This window comes from Homo sapiens, chromosome 2 (genome assembly GCF_000001405.40).
Source record: "Homo sapiens chromosome 2, GRCh38.p14 Primary Assembly".
In the NCBI taxonomy this organism is placed as follows: domain Eukaryota; kingdom Metazoa; phylum Chordata; class Mammalia; order Primates; family Hominidae; genus Homo; species Homo sapiens.
In genome coordinates, this window is record NC_000002.12 from 72481418 (window position 1) to 72500905 (window position 19488).

Sequence of the window (19488 nt, forward strand, 5' to 3'; positions counted from 1 at the left end):
GGTTTAGCATGATGCCTTCCAACTAAAACATTGCCAAATGAACTAAACAAATAAATGATCACCAAAAGAACAGGAATCATTAAAATGGCAACAAGACGTTTCAAAATTAGGCATGATGAACAGAGATGTTAGGAGAGATTACAATATGTTAATAAACTACATCAGTTTGTGGAAGAAAGAACATGGGCATCAAAGTGAAAGTAACCAGGGAATTAATGACTTACTTTATTATTATTACTTACTGATCTTGTGAAATTTTCTTATCTTTTATAACCCTATTTCTTTATCTGTAAAATGTCAATAATAATGTCTACTTCACAGAGTTATTGTGAGGATTAAATATTCTGTTGTCAACACTATTTCCCTTTTCTTACATAGAACAGATCATTAAAAAGACAGTACTGGTTAAAAAAAAAGTTGTCTTCTATAAATTACTAGAAGAGGAAGATAAAGAAGAATAACTATTATTGTCTGTATAGAATTAAGGATTCTAAAGACCTTCATGATTCATTTTCCTACACTGTTTTCCCAAAAACTTGGAAAAGTAGTTAAAGGGACATAATTATAACTTCCATTTTATTATAACAGAAATGAAAATGAAGTGATTTTCTTTAGATCACACAGCCTAAATGAAACTAATACTACGTCCTGTACCTTCCAATTATGGACTCATCTAAATAACTCTGCCAGTGCCTTTTAGCATAAGCATAATATGGCAGCTCTGAAGTGCTGCATGATTGTGTACATTAGACTAAAATATAAGATTCTGGGCCTGCAATCAACTGGACCCCAATATGCTCTGATTCTACTGTCTGTAAAAAGAAGAGGAAAAAAAGTGGTATCTATTACTTATTTCTTAACTATTAAACCATAAAAATGTTCATATTCCTTAGAGTCTAAAAGAAATACAAACAGGAAATAGAATGGACCTTTTTTTTGTCTTTCTTTTCTACATCTTTACTTTCCATTTTCACAAAAATATGTCTGATGGTGAGGTTGTGGCAGGTAGCGGGGAGTTTTGGTGTGTAAGGCAATGAATTAATCTAGGTCTTTTGGTCTAGTGAGACAGTGAGCCAAGAGGTTGGGGGGTGGGGGTGGCATATGACACAAAGCAGAAACTGGAACTAAAGATGAGGGTGGTACTACACATGTTTACAATCCATGATATTTCAAAACAACGTTAAAAAGTTTGAATTTAAATTCAGTAAGAATCATATCAAGCTGTAGGATATTAAACAAAAATACAAATAGGACTATAATCAGAAAATACATTCTCACTTCTTCTACATCATCCAGCACAGGATGAAAGCACACACTTCATTCTCAAAAAATACATGTCAACTCATAAAGACAATGTTTTAGTACTGGTTTCAACTAAGAAAAAGTGTACCTTCTACTCCACTAAGGATCATCCTGACAATCTTAGGAAGATAACTACTTTGAAACACAATAACAAAGGGCAAAAACACAGCGATACAATTCGAATAAATTCTCTTAGATGAAAAGTTAGGGCAACACTGGGACTAGATCTCTATATTTTCCCCCATAACTCATCAGACAAGTTCATATACATCAGCTCTCCTTTCCATTCATTCCATAGTTTTAATTCAGAAATTTTGAGTTTTGAACACAAGACTACTACGTCCTATAAAATTACCAAAACAAACAACCTTTTAACTTTGGAGTGCTCTAGGAAAAAATATCCACCAAAATAAGCAATTCATCACCCTCTTGCTTTCATCATTTTCTCCTTCAGAGGAGGACTAAAATCATTTAAAAATATTTAAGTTGTGTGAATTAAATCATTCATCTTCCTGAGTGGGAAGGTGGCTACTGGAAAGGTTGTCTTGATGTGGAAGTCAGAAAATTAAGAGAGTTAATCTGAGAACTGAAAAATTTCTATTTTAAAATCAGTATTACCTATGGAAACACATTCTGCCAATCAAAAGAAATCCTAATAATAAGGAGGAATCATGTCATGTTATCGAAATAAAAAACAGTGGCAGTCAAAGAGAAAATTATCCTGTTTTACATGATATTGGCAGTTAAAGAAAAAAAAGGGAGGTGGCTTCACTGGGTACAGTAGTAATTTCCCATGACTTTTTAAAGATCTGTCAACACAAAAGATCACTGTGAATTACATCAATTGGCTGTCAGTCACTTTTTGAAATGTTTCATTGCTGAGCATAGAATAGACTATTGAGACACTCTAGGATTACAGTAGATACCATGTCATTTTCAGAGAGAATATTGTCTGTTAACGAGGACTAAGTGATAACTACTCCTGAATGACAGCTACCAAAATCCTTACAAGGGCATTTACTAATGTAAAACCAGAGGCTTTGGGCATAATTTCAAATTGAAAGATAAAATGAAGCAATTTCAGATAACTTCCCTCAGAGTTTGAGCTCCCTTGATGATATTTTTAACGACTACTTCCCAGTCTCTTACAATATATAACACTGCAGTAATCCAAACTGTCCTAAACATTATTTCAAGGACATAAAACTAATAATAGATCAAATATTGATTATCTCTTACATAAAGTTCTATGAGAATTGTCAAAAAAGAACATTATAAATCAAACGACTATCTCTCACAAGTAAATGACACAAGTCACTTAAGTGAAAAACCATTAAGAATTGGAAAATTTTTCTGTCTCTCCTTCCTTGTATCGGAGAAAATCTAACAAGAAAGGTACATAGCACACCTTGGAGGTAATTTCTTTTTTTTTTTTTTCAATTTTACATTAAGTTCCAGTATACATGTGCAGAACGTGCAGGTTTGTTACATAGGTGTATGTATGTCATGGTGGTTTGCTGCACCTATTGACCCGTACTCTTAAAGATCCGTCCCCTCAGCTGGGCGCGGTGGCTCACGCCTGTAATCCCAGCACTTTGGGAGGCCGAGACGGGCGGATCACGAGGTCAGGAGATCAAGACCATCCTGGCTAACACGGTGAAACCCCGTCTCTACTAAAAATACAAAAAAAAAAAAAATTCAGCTGGGCATGGTGGAGGGCGCCTGTAGTCCCAGCTACTCGGGAGGCTGAGGCAGGAGAATGTCGTGAACCCAGGAGGCGGAGCTTGCAGTGAGCCGAGATCACGCCACTGCACTCCAGCCTGGGCGACAGAGCGAGACTCCGTCACAAAAAAAAAAAAAAAAAAAAAATTCCCTCCCCTCATCCCCAACCCCACAACAGGCCCTGGTATGTGTTGTTCCCTTCCCTGTGTCCATGTGTTCTCATTGTTCAACTCCCACTTATGAGTGAGAACATGCAGTGCTTGGTTTTCTGTTCGTGTGTTAGTTTGCTGAGGATGATGGCTTCCAGCTTCATCCATGTCCCTGCAAAAGACATGATCTCATTCCTTTTTATGGCTGCATAGTATTCCATGATGTATATGTACCACATTTTCTTTATCTAGTCTATCATTGATGGGCATTTGGGTTGGTGACTTTGCTACTGTAAATAGTGCTGCAATAAACATATGTGTGCATGTGTCTTTATAGTAGAATGCATGTGTCTTTATAGTAGAATGATTTAAATTCCTTTGGGTATATACCCAGTAATGGGATTGCTGGGTCAAATGTTATTTCTTGGTTCTAGATCCTTCAGGAATTGCCATACTGTCTTCCACAATGGGTGAACTAATTTACATTCCCAGCAACGGTGTAAAAGCATTCCTATTTCTTGTGGAGGTAATTTCTCCTCCAAGCCTGCTCAAAACACCCCAGTGGAACCTGAACCATGATGACATTCTATTCTTGACAAACCCCAGAAAATATCTTCATCATCTTCCATAGTTCAAAACTAGCCTTAAATTCCAAGAAGATGTTTCCATTCCCAACTATAAATTAATTCTGGAGTATACACATCTGCATATATTAAAACTGCTTTTAGCATGTTTCCCAAAACAGACAATTCAGTACAATAAACCTTCAACAGGACTAATCCAAAGGAAGAAAATGAGAAGTCACACTCTTCTTCATGCCACCAATGCCTCTCAACTGTTAAATTTGCAAAACAAAAAATGAAATAGTAGCATTGGTTCTCATTCACAAAAATGAGCTATCACATAGACTTCAAGGGATTTGATCTCCATTTCACCCCAGTCAGGGTACAAAAAACTGTGTCAACCACTCATTTTATACCATCTCCATGATTAAAATACCTAAAATACTAAAATACATGAAACTCCTGGTTACGAATTCCAAGATAAAGTACAAAGTTTATATTTGACTAGACTTAAGTACAAAACATTTTAACAACGTGAGCAATATCACTTCTGTTAACAAGAGAGAGGGGAGATAAATGGAATGTGGAAAATGAGAGGAGAGAATCATATGGTCAACAATCTAAATTATACTAAAAGCAAAGAATAAATGCAAAGCACTAGTCATTTCTTCAGGTCTCTACTACCATATTAGGTATGTCTAGTGCACTACATCACAGTAGTGCCCTGTGATCATAAAAATACAAATACCCAATATGGTTTCACCAGAAGGAACTCTGAACTTCTTTCTACATATTATAAATAATTAAACATAAATACTACTGTAAATTATAAAGTATCAGATGAAAATATAACCAATTCTTTAGAACTAGTATTGATATGAACTGATATATTGCAGCTTCCAGCTAAATATGATTTAAGAAAATACACAATCATGGCTGAGCGCAGTGGCTCATGCCTGTAATCCCAGCACTTTGGGAGGCTGAGGCGGGTGGATCACCTGAGGTCAGGAGTTGGAGACCAGCCTGGCCAATATGTTGAAACATTGTCTCTACTAAAATACAAAAATTAGCTGGGTGTGGTGGCACATGCCTGTAATCCCAGCTACTCGGGAGGCTGAGGTAGAAAAATTGCTTGAACCTGGGATGTGGAGGTTGCACTGAACCGAGATCAGGCCACTGCACTCCAGCCTGAGAGACAGAATGAGACTCCATCTCAAAAAAAAAAAAAGAAAAAGAAAATGTACAATCATGTTAGCTAGTTTCACTTTAATTCATGTACACTAGTCAAGAGTGGGCACTTGATGCTACCAAATAATCACATTATCTGGCACAAATCAATTTTTTTTACACACTCCTAGAGGACTTCAACACACCTTCTTTCTCCTTCAACTCCCATGCTTGCTCTCCCATCTGTAGGTTTAGCTGAAGACCCTGCATTTGCTGGGAAAACTGAGCATTTGGGAGCCTGCCACCATAATACTTACCCAACCACTACCATTTGCATTCACACACTCTGATTCTTACCTGTTACCAGAGGTGAACTTGACACTATCTAATGCCAATCCCTTTAACTGTGTATTCTATCTTAAACTCTCTTACTTAAGGACATTGCATCAGAGATTTCTCCCTTTCTGCTACATCACCCATTTTTCTGCTCTATACTGTATCATTCCCACAATAAATAACAGACTGTTATCTGTCCCATTAAAAAATAAAACAAAAAAAAAAACCTGTCTTAACCGACTTCCCCTGCTAGCTATCACCCCATTTCTTTGTTTCCTTTGGTAACAAAATTTCCTGAAAGAGCTGTCTTATATTTGCTGTCTCTAATTCCTCTTTTCCCATTCTTTAATTTTTTTATTTACATAAACTCTTTATTTTAGGACAGTTTTGTATTTATATTTACAAAAAAGTTGCAGAGTTCCCATATACTCCTCACCCAGCTTCCCTTATTGTTAACATCTTACATTACTATGGTACATTTGCCACAACTATGGAACCAACATAAACGCATTACTACTAATTGAACGCCATACTTTATTCAGATGTCACTAGTTTTTCCTTAACGTTCTTTATCTATTTCTGGATTCCATCTAAGATACCACATTACATTTAGTTGTCACGTCTTCTTAGTCTCTGGTCTGTGACAGTTTATCAGATTTTCCTTCTTTTTGATTACACTGACAGTTTTTTGTTTTGTTTTGTTTTGTTTTTGTTTTTGTTTTTGAGATGGAGTCTCGCTCTGCCACCAGGCTGCAGTGCAGTGGCACAATCTCGGCTCACTGCAACCTCCAACTCCCTATTTCAAGCGATTCTCCCGGCTCAGCCTCCCGAGTAGCTAGGATCACAGGCACGTGCCACCATGCCCAGCTAATTTTTATATTTTTAGTAGAGACGGGGTTTCGCCATGTTGGCCAGGATGGTCTCGAACTCCTGAGCTCGTGATTCACCCGCCTCAGCCTCCCAAAGTGTTGGGATCACAGGCGTGAGCCACTGTGCCGAATCCTACACTGACAGTTTTAAGGAGTACTGGTCAACTATGTTATAGCATGTCTTTCAATTTTTGTTTGTTTAATGTTTTCCCATGCTTAGACTGGGCTCATGGGTTTAGGGAGGGAGAACACAGAGGCAAAGTGCCCTCTCATCAAATCATATGAAAGGTACATACTATCAACATAACATCACTGATGATGTTAACCTGGAACACTTGAGCAAGGCAGCGTCTGCCAGTTTTCTTCACTGTAAGGTTACTTTTTTCCTCATTCTACCCTATACTTTTTGGAAACAAGTCACTAAGCACACTTCACAATCACCTTGTAGTGGCAATAGTATCTATATTAGTTATTTGAAATTCCTCTCTGCAGGAGCCATTCTCTTTAAAACCTACTCAATCAGGAGTTTCCTTCCACCATTTTATTAAAAGCGCTCTTACCAAGGTCACCAACTTATTCCAAATTGCTAAATCCAATGGCAATTCTTCACCTTCTTTTTATCAATCAGCAGTATTTGTCATAATTCATCACTCTCTCATTCTTTATATAATTTATGCACACTCCTGTTTTTTTTGTTTTGCTTTTTCCTACTTCCCTGGTGGCTCCTTCCCAATCTCCTTTCATGGTTCCTCTTTTCTCCTGATATCTTAATATCAGAGTACCCAAAAGTTCAATTTTCATCCTCTTTTCTTCTCCATCTTTATTCATTCCCTCAGTGATAGTATCCAGTAGCATGAATATAAATATTTATATTCTCCCCAATTTTTATCCCCTGGCCAAACCTCACTTCCAATCTGCAAATTCATATACACAACTGCTTACTCAACATCTCAACCTATATGTCTAATAAACACTATAAATTTAATATGTCTAAAATCAAATTCCCAATGTTCTCTCACAGCAAATTTAGCTCTGCCTAAAATTTTTCCTATCTTAGTTCATGGTATATACAGCCTTCTCGTTGCTCAAGTCAAAAAATCCTGGAGTTAGTTACTTTCAACTCTTCACTTTTTCTCTTCCTTTATATCCAATCATCAGGAAAGCATGCTGGCTCTACACTTAAAATCTTATCACTGTCCATAGCTACCACCCAGTCTCACTGGATTTCTGCCATAATTCCCTAACTAGTCCCCTTGTTTCCATCCTACAGTATATTCTCACTACCATGGTCAATGTGATCCTCTCAAAATATAAGTCAGATCAAGTCATTAAACAAAATCCTACAATAGCTCCCCATTTCACGCAAAATAAAAGCAAAAGGCTTTACGACGGCCTACCATGAATGCTTGATACCTCTCTAAACTAACCAGTTGCTTCTCTTCCCCTTGCTCACTCCACTCCAGCTACCCTAGCCTCCTGATTTTTCCCTCAACTTGCCAAGAACTTTCCTACCTTCAGGCCTTTGCTCTGGCTCTAATCTCTACCTGAAATTTCTCCTGCAATAATAACTTACCCTCGAGGTGCTGCTATAAAAATAAAACCAACCTAGAACATCTACTAGAATCCTGATTTCCTTAACCCAGGTGCTTTTTCTTCTCTCCATAGCATTCACTACCTTTAACCATACTACAAAATTGACTTAATTATTTTGTTTATTATTTATTATCTGTTTTTCTCTGGTAGAATGTAAGCAAGGATCTCTATTGTTGTTGTTATTGTTCACTGATTTATCTTAAGGGCATGGAATCAGTGCCTAATAGAGAGTACATATTTTAAAAATTGTAAAGGTAATAAACAAATTATCTTAATAGAACCTCTTGTTCTAATTTTTTTTACTTCTCTTAATTAAAAAACTCCATTTCTATACTAGTATTAATCAGTGCTTGACTGCTTAGACCTCTTAATAATAACAGGTAATATGCATTGAGTATTTGCTATATACCAGGCACAGTAAGTACTTTACATGCTTCACAACATTCCTGTGAAATACATGCTACCATTATCCCCATTTTACATAGAAAGCAAAGTAATTTGCCCAAGGGCACAGCTATTACGAGGAGGGCCAGAATTGGAACCCAGGCAGTATATATTAGAACATACAGTCTTAACCAATACTCAATTACACTTTTCATAGACCTTATGAAGCAGCCCTAGGAAAATAGCCATTCTCGCTAAAAAAATAATGAATAGTCACATAAAGTTTGAAAAAGAAAGGCATTCATGTTCTAGTGGTGCTAAAACTGAAAGGTAATTTTGAATTGGCTCAACATGGAGAAACAAAGAAGCCATGAGGAAAAAAGATAGAGCATATGCATAGAAAAAGAAGAGACTGTGTAACCCCAAAACAGAGTAAACACTGTGTAACCCCAAAACAGAGCAAACACTGTGTAACCCCAAAACAAGAAGGGCAGGCAGAGAGACATTTGTCTATAGGAACTTCCAATTCCTAAGAGAATTATCTGACATGCTGAAATAGGAATCTGTAAATTTTGTGGGCTTATCATAATTCTATTATCTCTGACTAAAACAATATCCATGTTACTATGGACCTCCTGTAAAAATCTCAATTTTTGTTAGGATGAAATAATTAAATCAATATGGAAGGCAGTACAATACAGTAGAAGTGGATAGGTTTGGGGAAAAAAACCTAGATTTATGTCTCATTTCTACCATGTTTGCTAGCTGTATGACCTCAAGCAATCTCCCTGGACTTTAATTAGGCTGTCTATAAAATGGGAATAATAACACATGCCCAGCCTGCTTCAAATGTTACTGTACTAACTGAAATCAAATTTGTGAGTGAGCTTTGAAGAATATAAACTGCTCCACAAATGTTACCTATTATGATGATGATTCCAGATGTGAACTCACTTTAGTTACTCATAAAGGATGTGTCTTCTCTTTCCAAAGGTAGGTAGTATAATTATTCAAAGTGTATCTCGTTAGTAATAAAAAAAATCACTTTATGTGTATGTGTCTATACATGTACACACCACCATAATAGCCAAAACAAACAAAAGCGTATGCATGTTTCTTCATTCATATGCAAAGATACTGAAAGTATAGTTCCCTAAAAACACCCAATGACTAAGGAATAACATTTAGTATTCAATGAAATGGTGCCAAAATTACACGGTTCTTCCTTGATAACTTCGTACTTGTTCTTCCTATTATTACCTGACCCGTACAGTGTTTCCTGAAACCCAAGCTGAGAAGTTACGCCTTTCTCTTAAAATGTCACAGTAAACCAATGGCTCAGCCAGAACTGAACCCAAGATTCTTCTGAGGCCAAAGCTATTTCTATCAGACCATGTTCTTGCTATGCTACTTGTTATAAAATTGTTAAGAGACTGCTAAATTAAATGACATAAAAACAGTTACATGAAGAGTTATAATGAAGAGATAGTTCACAAAATAAATAATAAACTTCCCATCCAGAAAAAGAAAACACTATAATCTAACAAAAGCAGGAGGACTTCCTAATTTTCACTCCAACCTTCCTTTTCTGTAACCTTCTTGATTATAAAGGAGGTTAGCTATTTTTCAGATACATAAAGGCAAATGCCTAATATTTCTGTACTAGGCAATAGAAAGGAAGCTCTGTAAAATGAGGGGATTATCCCAAATAAAGTCTAAGGTAATTTTCAATTGAAAGAAAAGTTTGCTATAAGTAGAACTCAATCACTTCCAATGTCCCATCTTATTTTTTTTTTATCTTAATTCAGAGAAAGAGAAAATAACTCCAAAATCAGAAGTAAATGCCCACCTGGCTTCCAGCTGTCTTTACCTATAGGTCAGTATCATTAACCTTTTGCTGCGCTTCACCATAATCCTTGACAGTGTACATTTTAAATGTCAATTTTTTCCTAGAGTAACAGACTTCCAAACTGCACCACCTCTATAGGTAAAACAGATGGCAAACAGCCTTTCCCTTTCCTTGTGAAAAAAAATTCTTCTAAACTCCTCTCACTTTAGGCACTATAACATCCAGTGAAAAACAGATTGAGGTTACTACGCAATCTTGAGTTTCCAAGGGAGAGAACTTCACATCTTTCTAAATTTTAGAACTACACACCAATAGACCAAATCTCGTTTGCCAAGGTACTACATTCAATATATGTAAAATATCCCTCCTCTTTTTATGAGATTCCATAAACCTCCACAGAAATGTGACTATTGCCTTTTCTACACATTCCCTTGATCCCAAATATCTAGTCCTTTTGCAAACAAACTACAAGCTGATAAAGAGTAATTTACCTTTCATACATATGAGATATCTTAAAAATAAAGGCTGAGTCTGACACTAACCAAGAACTATGATTGCATTATCCTAGGTATCAATAACTGATGCAAGCAAAATGTGATTTCATATTCTACGTTGTACATGAACTGCCATTCACTTGATTGGAACCTGATGCTCAATATATTCTACAAACAAAAATATTTGTGTATAATCAATGCCAGGTAACAGAAATGTATTCTAACAACTTCAGAAAGGAAAACCAGTTAAGCTAGTGAAAACAAAGAGAAAAACGACTTTTTTAGAAAAAAATAAATAAATTTTTCAAAGGTGACCAAAGAAAAGAACAAGAGATTTCATTTTGCACTTTCACCATTAGAAGCCTATCAGGAAGAGCATGTAGAAAGTTTTAACGAATTCAGACATAAGGCCCAGAGCTTAGGACATCTGTTCACATACTGGCTCGGCTGCCTTCATTAGGAGCAGGTTTACCTCAGTAAGCCCAATATTCTTCCTTTTAATTACATTCTGCAGAGAGTTGCTCAGAGTCCTGGTTAGCAACAGGTTTGTTGATTTCCGAATCATGTCATCAACTTCAGTTGAGCTGAAAAAGAAGCATTAAGAGTCAGTCATAGCAGGTAGCAGAATTATTTCGGCAAACAAACGGTGCCAGTGGTATTCGTGGTAATAATAATAAAATAATAATAGCAGCAGCAAATAATACTTATTGTAAGTCAGAAAAAGTACTATAATAAACTCTCCTAGCTTTTGTTGGCTGAAAAAAAAATAGTTTGCCTTCATTTTTGAAAATTGTTTTTCTGTCTATAGAATTCTGGCTGTTTTTTTTTCTTTATTTCTTTGAGTACTTTAAGGATGTCACTCCATTTTCTCTGGCTTGCATAGTTTCAGAAAAGAAGTCTATTATAATTCTTATCATTATACTATCATGTAATTTTTATTTTTGGGAATGCCTTCTAAACATTCTCTTTACCTTTCATTTTCACCAGTTTGAATATGATGTCTTTAAATATTTTTGTTTGTTTCTTGTTGTTGCTATTATTTATCTGAATTAGGGTTCTCAAAATCTTGAATTTCTTGTTTGATGCCTTTCATTATTTTTTTGAATACTCTCAGCCACTTTAATTTAAAGTATTTCCTCTTCCCAGTTATCTCAGTCTTCTACTTTAATCTACCATTTGAAAATGCCCTACAGATCTTGGGCACTTTGTTCTATTTCTTTCACCTTTTCTTCTGGGTTCTATATTGTCATGCTAGCTCACAGTACACTGTTAACAATACATTAAGACTTTAGTTGATTTTGTCTTTCTCACATGAATGGTAGTTACACCTTTCCTATTCTGCCACAGGTGCAGGAGTCTGTCCCCTTAGAGGGACCAGTCCCATCATGGTTTTCGGACTACTTAGTTTCCTGCTGACTTCGCCTCTCTGATGAGTTCCAAAAAAGTTTTAATTTTGTACCTTCTCTGTTTTTCTCCCCCCCCCCCCCCCGCATTTTTACATAGGAAGCAATATTCTTTCCAGTCTTCTATACTGTAGACAGAAACAGAAGTATTTTGCAGTAATTTGCTTTAAAAAAATGCTGTTTGTGCATGTATTCACATGCAAGCAAGATTAAAAGAAAAAAAAAACCATATCAGAAGTGTTATTACTATGTGGTAGAGTTTTGGGTCATTTACATTGTCCCTCTTTGCGCTGTTCTTTATCGCCTGAATTCTTTAAAAACATTTAATTTTATTAATATAATGTGAAACAGGATCTCTCGCGTATGTATGTGGGTGTGTATATATTCTATTTTTTTAAGATGAGTATGAATGCTAGAAGAGTATTTTACCATAGAAATGCCATGTGTTTGCTATTTTAAAAAAATCTTTCTTTCAAAAAGAAAGTTTTACGTATTCAGAATTCATGCAATTACAAATTTTGTCAATATGTATAATGCTTTTTGGCCTCTTCTGTCTAGTGTAAAAGAGAAAACTAAGAGAATAATTATTCTTAAAGCTGCATTAAAATCTGAATGCAGCGGTTTCTCTTGTTTTGAGAGCCTGCATGTAAAAGAAATAATGGTTTTTATACAAATTGTCTCATGTTCCATGTTAGCCTCCAAAACAGATATGACTGACAAAGCAATCTCTGTCACTCCAAGTTATAAGGTAAACATATTCCAGGATATAAGATAAATGCCAAATGAAGAGTAAAAGGCATCTAGCTTTTTCTAAAATCCCCAAGTTAAATATTTTATTTAAATATTAAATGTGAAAAGTATCAAAGGAAGTTTTCAGGCAAAAACTTCACATATTCAGGCAAGAAAAAGGCATCTGACATTATCCCATTACTAATATTATTCCTTTACCATATTACCTTTCTTCCAAAAGAAGATAGAAAAAGTAATTTTGCAATCAACTTGTAATGATTTATCTACAATAATATACCTAACATACCCTACAGACAATTATCTGATATAAGGTCACTTATATTAATGAAGTGGAGGCCAGGCAGGTGGGGGATGGAAACCCAGGGTAAAAAAGTTTTGGTTTGTAACTTCAAAAGACAATCTATTTTCAAGAGAACATTTCTATGAAAACAATTTCATTTTCAGAGAAAATGACAAATTAATTGTACAAACCCCATGTTTCATTTATTTTCTTAGTAAGAATAGTTAACAAAGAAGTGACTCAAACTATTCCCCAACTATGTTTATTTTCAGAGTAGCCTGGCATACCATGCTTTCCATTCATTTCATACATACACTCATTAAAAAAAATTTTCCGAGCTGGGTACAGGGGATATTGTGTTGAACAAAGATAAAATGTTTCCACCCTACAAAAGGATGGAACACAAACATCCTCATTTGTGTTTGGCTTGGCTTGTATGTTGCTCCAGCACTTATTAATTGTTCAGCTTCTTAATTAGACTAGGTACTCCTTGAAGACAGGGACCACATTTTCAGCAACTTAATTATTTCTATACCAAGCAGCATCTGACAAATAATACATTAGCCAAAATCTACGGTGAATAAACCAATACATGAATAAAGAAACAAAGGAGCCTACACTCTAGCACGTATAGAAAATATACATATACAAGTAGAGCAATAGTGTTTCCAAAGGATTTTATCTGATACTCCCCTTTTGGCCTTAACATTTCATTAAGTAGAATGTCAAAATCAGTATTTTTTGTCTATTTTTTTTTCTATAGAGATGGGGGTCCCACTATGTGGCCCAGGCTGGTCTTGAACTCCTGGATTCAAGCGATCCTCCTGCCTCAGCCTCCCAAAGTGCTAGGATTACAAAAATGAGCCACTGCATCCAGCCTACCATTTTCTAGTAAACTGTCATTAATAAGTGTTGAAATGCAAATCTATAAAGAATAAGATAGATAATATAAATTTTCAAAATTATGCAAAAGTTACCAATCTTCTCTTTCATCGTGACTATAGAAATACAGCAGTGCCATGCAGTGAAAAGCTAATTATTAAGATTTCCAAAATCAGGGCTGACGGGACTATCAAAAGTTTTTCAGAATATGTAAATACATGGAGTCACAATCTTAGCATTGGTTACATTTCTACTATTTTGTATTATACCTTAGATGAAGATCTTCTGAAAACTTCAGACAAGCGTAGATAAATTCTTTAATTTGGTTGTAAACTTTTGGCACAAATTCAGAGAAAGGAAACTTTTTTGGAAATGGTTGCTGTAAATGCAAGAAGTAATGAAATCAAGTCACAAACCAACGAAGATTGAAGATATTTATAAATTATTTAGGTTGCAAAAAGAACATTCTTTCACATTGTGAATTGTCTCCTTAACAAACTCAAATATAAGAAAATATCTCCCAAAGTTTTCTGATATTAAAAAGACATAAATTTAAATAAAACAATAATTCAAATGTCCTTCATCATGGAAAGAGATAAACAAATTGTGTTACATACTCAGCAATAAAAATGAATGAACAATGATACATGCAACAATTTGGACGAATCTCAAAAGCATTATGTTATATCAAAGAAGTAAGTCTCAAGAAGTTATATACTACACAATTCCATTTATATGGCATTCTGAAAAAGGCAAAAGTAGATGCACAGAGCCCAGGTTTCTGCTGTCCTGGGGCTGGGTTAAGGGAGGGGTATTACAAAGGGGCATCATTAAATAATTTTTTTTTTATAATAGAGCTATTTGGTATCAACATTGTGGTAATGGATACATAACTCAATACATTGTCAAAATCAGCAGAATTGTACACCACAAAGTGTAAATTTTATGTTGTGGGGAAAAAATGTCTTTAAATTTTAATAAAAACAAGTATTTCAAAGTGTAAACTGAATTAGAACATCCGCAGCAATCCTCCAAACACTTCAGAGGTAATAGGATCCAAAGCCATCTGCTGATTCCCAAATCAGGAAATTCTGGTCTTCCCCAAAAAGAATCCTTCATCGTCAGAAAGGTGATTAAAGTGAAAAAAAGAAAAAGAAAAAAGAATCCTTTGAAATTGTTTTAGAGTTCTAACCCATTGAGTTAAAGGTAATGCTTTCAATCAAACTGATCCAATGAAAGCTTTTAAGAGGATGCCAAAACAACCAGAGAAATTTATTTTAAAGTATTCCTTACCTTTTCCAGTTCTATATCTTGAAATGGGAATTGTCCTACCACCTTTTTGTACATCTCTTCACTTGTTACTGGTATAGGACTGTAGTTGTCAGAATCAAGTATGTTTCTATAAATGGAAGGATAGACAAAGGGAAGGGAAGGATAGACAAAGTGGGGGGGTAGGGGAGGGGAACAGAGGGAAGGTGGGTTAATCACAAATATTTTTCTGATGAACTCCAATCTTAATATATATGCCACAACCCAAAATGAACATTTCCCAGTCCCTATTATATTCCTTCCACAATATAGCTATTTGGTTTTGGATTTAAAGAAGACAAAAAGAAAACTATCCTCTGAAACAAATGGACCACAATTATAAACATATCTCTTAGGAACTGAGATTTACAAATAGGACAGAACATTTCAATGTAAGTGAGAAGTAAACAACAAAAGAATGTGTGCTCTAGAAAAGGCAAAGATATTTTCTGTTTGGTTTAATATGATATATAAATGTACATTATTATTATTATTATTATTATTATTATTATTATTATTATTAGAGACAGGGTCTCGCTCTGTCACCCAGGCTGGATTGCAGTGGCATGATCGTAGCTCACTGTAACCTCAAACTCTGGGGCTCAAGCAATCCTCCCGCCACAGCCTCCCAAGTAGCTGAAACTACAGTTGTTCACCACCACATCGGGCTAATTTTTAATTTTTTTGTAGAGATATAATCTTGCTATGTTGTCCAGGATTGTCTCAAACTCCTGCCCTCAAGGGATCTTCCTACCTTGGCTCCCAAAGTGCTGGGATTACAGGCATGACCCACTGCACCTGGCCCATTGATAAGGTTTTTAAAATCATGTTCTATTCTAACTTTCAAAATTGGCAAACAGAGTAACTTCAATAATAAATTCAAACTATTTTCATTTACTTTACCTACTGCTCTATATCAAGGATGACTTTTTTTAAATCGATAGGTTCTCTCTCCTTAAATAAACTGGGCATTCTCTAATAGTAGGGAACATACTACCAAAATCAAAACAGAAGACTCACTGAAGGCGTCAGATCAGAGCATCTAAGACTATGGATATATCATGTTATTAATTTTCAAATATCCTATAGAGATAAGACTCCCTTAAATACAATTATACCATTAGCTAAATCTAGGTTTTAGAAATATAAATATTTATATTAATATACAGATAAATTGGACTAAGTGATGATCAGAGATATGTTCATAAACGAGAAGAGTAAGAGTAAAGGACTAATGTAAGATCTTGAAGCTATAAGAGTTTGAAAAGAGGACAAACTGATCAGGGAAAGGGGTCTTGCAATAGGCAGCATAATCACTTAAAGTAAAGGAGTAAAGGTATAAAAAGAGAAGAAAGTCAAATGAGTTGACCTGGATTATGTGCCAAGAGCACAGTTCGAGAAGACATCTGTGAGTGATAGATGTGACAGAATAACTTTCTTATTATTGTATGCATGTTGCAATAACTACTTAAATAACAGGCTTCAAACACTGGGCTGTAATATGCCCCTTTGCTGTGTGTGGAGAGGGAAGATGATGAGGAACAACATGAGTGAGTCATCCAAACAGATTTTCCGAAAGCCTAAATTATTCCTAAGTGCTCAAATGTTACTCACTATAATTGAGTTGTAGACTAGGCATGAACCTCAAAATGAAAACCAAATAACAGAATAAGATGACACCAAGATGATCTGAATGACATGAACCAAGGAATCTGATATTTATCGAAGGAAACAAAAAGGCAAAATAGGGTTTGGGGACTTCCCACTACAGTAGACACTAATACACTGAGACTGGATATCTTGGGAACTTAATTTTGGACGTTCTAACAGTTTATTTGAATTCTGGATCATAACCTAGAGTAGCTACAAAATATAAGTAACATATACTTGTTGCCTATAACATCTGAAAACCTTTGCGCATAAATACATGTGTGTACACTAATGTACATGAACACACACACATATGACTATAGATAATTTCTCACCTGAAAATACCTGCCCACTTCTTTAGCAGAGTTTCACTATATTGGTCTCTGATTTCTAACAGCATGTCAAAAAGCTGATTTACAGGGAAACCATACACCTGAAACAAAATAAGAAAATCACTTCAGTGTCTAAGGAAGGAGTTTTTTTTTCGGTTTTTTTTTTTTTTGGCAAAATGAGAGGGATAAGATACTGAAAAACATTACATTCTTTGAACAGCAAATTAAATAAAACCATTTAGTAGAATCTTTCATTCACACCTAATATCTAGCATTTATCTCTCAAAAATTAAATAATACCTAGCAAAATGTTTAAGCCAGTGAGAAAAAGATGAAAATTAAAATCTATATATAAAGGGTATACTATGGGATAAGTCCTCCCTACATCCCTTCCTATAAGTCCTACTACCTATAGTAAGCGTTCACAGAAGGGAGAGAAAGTAAAAATGCTTCGAATCTCATCCACTTCTAATGCTATTCTATTAGATATAATATGTGGTTCAAATCAACCACCATTATTCAAGATGGTAGTTAAAGAAACTGCAAACTAACTCAGCTGCCATATATGAATTAAGAACATTTTGAAAAACTAATGTAGTCAGTAGTTCAATTAATTGATTTGATGTGAGAGAAAAAAAGGAGGTGGAAACTACATATGAAAACATAATGGCTCAGGGTAAAGTTCAGGAAATGCTATAAAAGAGATAAAAAGACCTAGTTCCTAGGAAAATAATAAACCCAACTTAAAACTAACAGGTAACTTATCCAAGCTTATGTAGATTTTTTTTTTTTTTTTTTAAGACAGAGTTTCACCCTGTCGCCCAGGCTGGAGGGCAATGGCACTATCTCAGCTCACTGCAACCTCCACCTCCCAGGTTCAAGAAATTCTCCTGCCTCAGCCTCCCAAGTAGCTGGGATTACAGGCACTTACCACCACATCCGGCTAATTTTTGCATTTTTACTAAAGACAGGGTTTCACCATGTTGGCCAGGCTGGTCTCAAACTCCTGACCTCAAGTGATCCGCCTGCCTCAGCCTCCCAAAGTGCTGAAATAACAGGCGTGAGGTACTGCACCCAGTCAGATTTTTTTTTTTTTTTTTGAGATGGGTCTCTATCACCCATGCAGGAGTGCAGTGGCGAGATCATAGCTTGCCACAGGCTTGGACTCCTATGTTCAGGCAATCCTCTCACCTCTGCCCCCAGAGTGCCTGGGACTACAGGAATGTGGTACTGCTACTGGTGATTTTTTATGTTTTTATTTTTTGTATAGATGGAGTCTCACTATATTTCTGAGGCTAGTCTTGGACTCTTGGACTCAAGCAATTCTCCTACCTCAGGCTTCCAAAGAACTATGATTACAGGCAAAAGCCACCAGACCCAGTCAAGAAAAAGGTTTAGAGCTGATTATAATACCAATCTAGATGAGCATATGTAAACAGAAATCACATACCTGAAGTGTGTCAGCAAAAAGCACAATGAGGTTCTTCAAATCTAACACAAGGTTTGGATCAGAACAGTAAGACTAAAGTAAATAAAAGACAAAGGAGGAAAAACATGTTATTAGTAAAAATGCAATTAAATTTTTATTTATTTAATTGTTTAGCGCTTTATCTGGCAAATTCTTTACCTGGTAAATTCTTTCCCTAGAAATAATTCAACACTTCCCTGGTACAAGGTAACACCAGGTTCAGCCAGGGAACAGCTGAGTACAGCAAGTTCAATAACCATGATCTATATTTTTAACACTTGGGAATTTAAAAATGCACTTCTAAATAACTCTTTGGTTAAAGAAGAAAACAAAATTGACACTTTTAAAAATGAACAACTATAAAATACTTCATATCAAAAACTATGGTATGTGGCTAAAACCATTTTCAAAATAAATTTGTATTTCTTTATGTAAACATCACAAAACACAAAAGATTGAAAATAAACAAACTAAGCACTGAACTGATGAAACTATGGGGGAAAGCCAATGAACCATAAGTAAATGAGAGAATAAAATTAATTAAATTAAAAACAGAACCTAATGAAATTAAAAAAGATATGGAAGATTTGATTAAATAAACCAAAGACCAAGTTAAAAATAAAATCAATTAAATAAACAAATCTTAGACAAAATTGATTAAACAATAAAGAGAAAATAAAAAACATGAGAAATACAAAAGAGAAAATAAGTACAGAGGAAAATAAAAATTACAAATAATGTCCATGTATAACCTCATATCAACAAATCAGAAAAGTTAACTGACATGGAAAATAATTTCTGTGGGCAGGATACAAAGATGTGTATGTCATTATTGTAAAAATTCATTGATTTTGAGATTCAAATTCTTTAATTATAATTTTTGTTACTTGCTCTCTCATTGGTCTCTCAAGTCCTGAAAGAGGTGTTTTGAATTCTCCCACAATTATGCAGCTTGTCCGTTTCTCTTCATATTACTAACAGTTTTTG

The 19488-nt window shown here is 35.2% G+C and overlaps 1 protein-coding gene across 13 annotated transcripts in view; it reads right to left on the reverse strand.

The window, feature by feature from the left end:
- The window catches only part of EXOC6B (exocyst complex component 6B), a 650050-nt gene that overhangs the window by 305434 nt on the left and 325128 nt on the right, over positions 1-19488 (reverse strand). For all 13 annotated transcript variants that reach the window (NR_135774.2, NR_135773.2, XR_007071495.1 and 10 more), the window contains 5 exons: positions 18484-18555; positions 17037-17134; positions 15037-15142; positions 14013-14122; positions 10901-11012 (listed from right to left, as the gene is read on the reverse strand). Coding sequence is in view for 10 of the 13 variants with exons in the window: in NM_001321734.2 (NP_001308663.1) it covers positions 10901-11012; positions 14013-14122; positions 15037-15142; positions 17037-17134; positions 18484-18555 (498 nt within the window). In the remaining 3 variants the exon portion in view is untranslated. The remainder of the gene's footprint in view (positions 1-10900; positions 11013-14012; positions 14123-15036; positions 15143-17036; positions 17135-18483; positions 18556-19488) is intronic.